We start from the raw sequence: 6,659 nt of genomic DNA, 5'->3' as shown, positions 1-6,659 counted from the left end.
TGTGTATAAACTTTTATGTGGACATACATTTTCATTTCTCTTGGGTGTATACTGAGAAGAGAAATTGCCAGGTCATATGGTAACCATATATTTAACATTTTGTGGAGCTGCCAAAATGTTTTTCAAAGTTGCTACATTCCCACCAACAATGTAGGAAGGTTCTATATTTTTTCCATCCTTACCAACATCTATCATACTATTGCTTAAATCTTTCTTTTATTATAGCCATCCTTGTGGGTATAAAGTAACATCTCATTGTGGGTTTGACTTGCATTTCCTTAGTGACTAATGGTTCTGAGCATCTTTTCCTCAATACCATTGGTCAAATGCTTATTGGCCGTTTTAATTTTGTATTTGGAGAACTATCTACTGAAATTCTTTGACTATTTCTTAATTGGGTTATTTCCTCTTTTACGACATTGTGAGAGTTCTTTATATGTTATGAGTATAAGTTCATGATCAGATACATATTTGCAAATATTTTCTCTCATTCAGTGATGTATTAGGCTGTTCTTGTATTGCTATAGAGAAATACCTGTGACTTGGTGATTTATAAATAAACAAGGTTTAATTGGCTCACAGTGCTACAGGCTGTACAGGGAGCATGATGCTGGTATCTGCTCTGCTTCTAGCGAGGCTCCAAGGAGCTTTTTTACGCACAGTGTAAGGTGAAGTGGGAGCTGGCATCTCATACGGCAGAGAGCAAGCAAGAGACAGAATTGGGGCAGGGAAGATGCCACACACTTGTTAACACAGCCATATCTCATGAGCACTCACTATCTTGAGGTCAGCACCAAGCTATGAGGGATTCACCCCCATGACCCACATACCACCCACCAGGTCCTACCTTCAACATTGGGGATTACAATTCATCATGAGATTTGGCGGGGACATATATTCAAACTATATCAAGTGAGTTGTGTTTTTTACTCTCTTGACAGTATCTTTTAAACTGCAAAAGTTGTTTTAATTTCAGTAATGTCCAATTTATCTATGTTTTCCTTGGTTGTTTGGGTTTTAGGTGCCATATCTAAAGAACTATTCCCTAACCTATGGTCATGAAGATTCACTTCTAAATTGTTTTCTAAAATGTTTAAGTTTAAACTCTTATATTTAGGTCTTTCATCCATTTTGAAGCAATTTTTGCATATTGTGTGAGGCAGGTTTTTAATTTCAGTCTTCTGTATGTAGATATTCATATGCGGCAGCATCATCTATTGAAAAGCCTGTTTCTTCTATTGATTTTTTTCTATTGAAAAATCTTGGCACCCTTCTCCAAAATGAGTTGGCCTTAAATGTGAGGATTTATTTCTGGACACATAATTCTATTCCATTGATTTATAATGTGTCTGAGATGTGAGTTCTCCAAATTTTTTTTTTCAAAATTGTTTTGGTTATTCGGCATCCCTTGCATTTCTATGAAAATTTAAAAAATTTTAAATCAGCTTGTCAATTTCTGCAAAAGATCCAGTTTTAATTTGATAGGTTTTGCTTAACATTATGTTTTATACGCTGTCTTTGAAACTTAAGATAACTTGCTGACATAATACATATGTCATACTGGATAACTGATGGGGTCAGCTACACGAAGCAGAAAATATAAATTTTGCAAAGACTGTCTGGGAAGGGAAATGTTGAGACCTCTGAGTACCACAGAAAGATTCTTGCTACCTAGACTGCTAGGAGACTACTCTAGAATCACTCCATTAGTCTAGGAAAATCTTATTTCAACTTAACCAATTTATCATGAGACATTCCTTTTCTCTCTAGCATCTCACACTGTCACTTTACTACTACACTGCAGTACAAATAATAGCATTAGCTGCTGCATACAGTGCCAGTCATTGCTTAAAATACATTATTTGTGCAACGTATTTAATGCTTACAATTATATTATTGGGTAAGCTATGTAAGTTTTGCTATATCAATAAAGATATAAAAGGTCAGAGGATAACAGCTTTTATTTAGGTAGAAAGTATTAGAAATAGAATTTGGACTCAAACTCAGCTACCTCTTAAAGTTAAGCTCTTAATCAGTATTTACAATTTCTTCCCACAAAGTAGCCAGTTAATAAATGTCTTTAGAATAAATAATCAATCAAGACTCAATCAGGTTTCTGTAGTACCAATAATTTGTGCTGCCTTTCTAAGCTTTCAGAGTGACTGTGACACAGAAAATATAAATCCACAAATTTAATGTAGTTAGAGACCTGAAAGGCCTACATATCATTTACAAGAGCACCTAGAAGTATTTATCACAGTAAAATTATGTAATGTATTGGATGTGTTTCAAAATAATCTATGGAGACTAAAATTAGAGAAGGGTGATAATGAATCAAGGTATGTTGAAAAGCATTGCAGATAGTGATTGATACAATAGATTCATTGTATTATTTTATCAGCTTTTGAAGATCATGATAATGTTCACAGGAAAAGTTATTTTTTATTAAAATGTCCATCCCACCCAAGGCTATTTATAGATTCAGTGCAATTCCTATCAAAACTCCAATGTCAGATTTCACAGAAATAGAAAAACAATCCTAAAATTCAAATGGAACCAGATAAGCTGCAGTTTTACAAGCTTTTATTTCAAATGTCCTTGGCTAAATAATGTCTCTTACAAAATTAGTAACCCTGAGGAAAAATAAAATAAAATAATACATAAATCAAAGTAAATACATGAATAAAGCCAACAATAACACAAAATTATTTATGTGAAATATATTTAAAAGTGATGATCCCAACATCCTAGGTCATTTTAAAGATTCTAGTTTTTTCTCTTCTGCTTGTAAAGGTCATAGCTGCCACTGGGTCACATGGCAGTGCAAACCAGCTTCAGCCATGTTCTAGGCCCAGAATCATTTCTCTCTGCTGTTGTTATGAGCTGCTTATCAACCTCTGTGTGATAAAAATCATTTTATTGATGAGTCTGAACTTGACAGAGTTCAAGCTTTAATTTTTTCCCAATGTTTCCATCAACCATGCTCTGTGAAACCCTCCTTTACTTTCTTTTAACTACTGAAATGGCCATGAGAATGTTTCTCATAGACTTTCAGCTGCAGAGGACATAACAGACCAAGAGCCTCAGGTGCTGTCATTTGAAGTCCATTAGCTTTATTCTGAAGCCAGGCTTTCCACAGGCTGCTCTCACCCAATGATGCAGTGCAGGAGGAATACTAAAGCAAGTCCATTCTTGGAAGACATGGAACTCATCTGATTGGCAACTTTGGCTCAAGGACTCTCCAAGCCCCATGCTGAACCTTCCCTAGACTTCATAACTGATTATGATATTTCCACCTAGCCTTCCTCTCCTGCCTCCTTCACTAGCAGTTAGTACTGCATTGTCATATGATGCCTTTGTCTCCCAGCTTTGCCAGGCTTCCTCCCCAGTTTCTCTCACAGGTGCTTCCCATAATACAATTCTACTTTGTTTTATTTTTTGAAACAGAGTCTCCCTCTATTGCCCAGGCTGGAGTGCAGTGGTGCAGTCATGTCTCACTGCATCCTTGACCTCCCGGGCTCCAGCGATCCTCCCACCTCAGCCTCTCAAGTAGCTGGCACTGCAGGTTCATTTCATGCCACCACACCTAGCTAATTTTTGTATTTTTGGTAGAGACAGAGTTCTGCCATGTTGCCCAGGCTGGTCTCAAACTCCTGGCCTCAAGTGATCTGCCCACCTCGGCCTCCCAAAGTGCTGGGATCACAGGCATGAGCAACTGTGCCTGGCCACAATTCTTGCTTGTTTAATCACCTTGGCAACTGATTCTTGGAGGACTGCTATTAACACAGCTACATATTGGACACATTCTGTAACTTCCAGTCACTTTTAAGTATAAACTCTTTTAGACTTATTTAGATCTTTTGTCTTGTGTGATATTTAATGTTTATCTCTTTCACCTCAGACTTCTGAGAAAGAGGCTTGAGTAGAGAAGGGGTTGTAGCTCTTTAGTTCTCAGGCTGCTTTTAGAGCCCCTTTCTGCTGTACCCTTTCATTAAATATTGACTTTAGCTCAAGGGTCTCTGTTGTAAGTGTAAATTAGGTTCATGTGAGCTCCTTGAGGGACTTCACCCAATGCAAAGTTCTTTCAAAGGGAAGATCTCATTCTAGTTTAATTTCTTTCCACTCTTTGCCACAGCTCCCGCCTCTGTTGATGGAACTGTTACCAGATAGGCATCGCAGTCCAGACCCCAAGAGACAGTTCTCAGATCTTGTGCAAGAAAGAATTCAAGGTGAATCCACAGAATAAAGTGACAACACGTTTACTAAGAAAGTAAAGGAATGAATGAATGGCTGCTCCATAGACAGAGAAGGTCATTCCCAAAAGCAGGAGGAGGAATGAATGCACCTTAGGTACAATGCTTGTTTATATATAAGATAACAGAGCAAAAAATCATGGGGGAGATGTGCTCCACTGCAAGGGTTTGTGACAAAGGATTGTTAATCTTTGTGTAACCACTGTCTTCTGTAAGAATCTGTATGATTATCTTTAAAACGAAAGATTCTTAGGCTAAGAATGCATTTGTTCTTAAGATATCAGGGCATCAGGACATTTCCTGGGTGTGAAATTGGCTGGGTCTGTTAAGTCCAGGGTCTCTTCAGTAAACATTATTAACTTGCTTCCTTAACTGTAAATACCCTGTGACTAAGAATGCCTAAACTCTTGGGAATGCATATACCAGTAAGTCTCACTCGCATTTTACCAAGGCCCTAATCGAGATAGAGTCGTTCTGGTTCAAATGTCTCTGACAGAACTGTTATCTCAAGAAACAGTCTTCCTGGGTGAGGAGCCTGCAGACCAGCTCAAGGTCACCTTCTTCCAAGATCCAATGGACCCACAAAACCGCGCATGTTTTTGCATCACCAGGCTGACTGCTACAGGGCTGTCCCAAAAGGTATATATGTCAGTCAGATCAGCACATCACTTCCTAAGAACACTTCCAAAGAGAAACTAAATGTCAGTCTCCCTTTCTTTCAGACATTCTTCATCTCTTAAACCATTTTCTCAGAACCACATTCACTCAGCTTGTGGGTGGGAAACAGGCTCTTCCTCTCTCACAGCAGGAAAGGGTATCGCAAGCCACTCACTCCCTTCTTGACTCTTCCAGAGGACTTCAAACAGGTTCTCTGAAAAATCTGATGACTCATTAGTTATCTCATGTAAGCAGGGTAAAGGACATAAAACCCGACAGTTTGAGTGGAAGAGTTAATCTGACCCAGTCTGACTAAGTCCTGAGAAGATGACTGGTCCCAATTACTTTAGGCTTTCTTTAGAACATGGGGATTGTTTGAGACTTCTTTGACATCAGTTTAAATTCCCATATTTAATTTCCAGGAATTGAAAAAATTCATGAAATATTCTGTGACACTAATTTGCTCCCCTACAAAGCTCAGATTCAACCCCCTTTCATAGTGCACCCCCTTGTAATACCGCTGACATTTAACACCATATCTCTGGCCTTTAATTCTACCTTGATGCAGTTCACAGGGGTTCTCTTTAATAACATAGCTTCTGGATCGGCCACTCCTCTGGTCTAACCCAGGAAATGGATGGAGAAAACTTAGAAGTTTGCTAGCATGAACGTACTTCCTTCATTAGTATTTGAATGAGACTTGAGTGATTATTAGTTCATCATTCCCTATCCATTTTATTTGTCTTGTATTTCATCAAAATTTGACAGCAGAATTATTTTCAAATTCAGACATATTTGCCTTACAACACCCATGCAATATTTTCAAATATCCGTTCTACTACCATAACAAATGATTTTTCTGTCCCAGGTTGTTCTGAGTGCCCCAGTTACTGCTTCAGGATTATTTTTTTAAGGAAAAAATGTTTGTTGGGTTGCATGATTCTAACACTAAATGGGGCTCTCCCCTTTCTTACATGCTATTTCTCAGTCATCAGTGTGTCCTGAAAGGTTGTTGTGTCTTCTATACATGGAACGTTTATTGCAAGGGGCCCAACTCTCACAGAAACAGGTGAAGCAACAGGCTTAGCCGCATCTCACTGCTTATCAAGACCTGCTATCTATGTCTATAAAGAATACTGATTGCTATTATACTCCATCTGGTCTCAAATATATTTCCCTTATTTCTATTCTTCCCAAAATTGGTAATTATTTACCTTTTAATGATCATTTAGAAATACTATAATTCAAGAATCTAAAAATTCACTTTTATTCTATCAGACTTGAACTCCTAACATGTATATAAAATGATAATGTAGGGATGTTGGAAGTCCTGAAGAGGAAATGAAGAGACAGGCTTTCTACTAAAGACCATAATTTGTGCCCCTTATCATTCACTGAGCTCCTGTCATCCTTCCCAATACATGAAATTTTCTTCCAATCGAACCTACAAGTGAGCACCCCACTTAAGTTTAACTTCAATAGGAAACCAGTGAAGTGAAATTTTCACAAGCAGAAAGAGAGCAATATTCACAACACAAAATGAAAGAGAAAGAGATTTTATAGTTATGGATGCCGTACTTCATGCCACTAGTTTTATGAACATTTTAGGATAGAAACTTTTGTCCCTGGTTGAAAAATTACATCTCTATAGACATTTTAGAATAAATTTTAGTTACCAGATTTAGTTCTAGACTGATAGTTTTCTTCCTTTCTTTTGTTTGTTTGTTTGTTTGTGATGGGGTTTTTCTC

The 6,659-nt window shown here is 37.7% G+C and overlaps 1 annotated feature.

The window, feature by feature from the left end:
• Window positions 4,152-5,351: an enhancer, noted in NCBI's record as "CDK7 strongly-dependent group 2 enhancer chr9:29439922-29441121 (GRCh37/hg19 assembly coordinates)". NCBI's record gives its function as "activates an origin of replication core promoter dependent on BRD2, BRD4, P300/CBP, MED14 and CDK7 cofactors, with strong dependence on CDK7, by STARR-seq in HCT116 cells {active_cell/tissue: HCT116}" and the evidence as "EXISTENCE:reporter gene assay evidence [ECO:0000049][PMID:35650434]".

This window comes from Homo sapiens, chromosome 9 (assembly GCF_000001405.40).
Source record: "Homo sapiens chromosome 9, GRCh38.p14 Primary Assembly".
Taxonomy (NCBI): Eukaryota; Metazoa; Chordata; class Mammalia; order Primates; family Hominidae; genus Homo; species Homo sapiens.
Note: the sequence above shows the minus strand (reverse complement) of the source record. Positions and strands in the feature narration are given on the sequence as shown.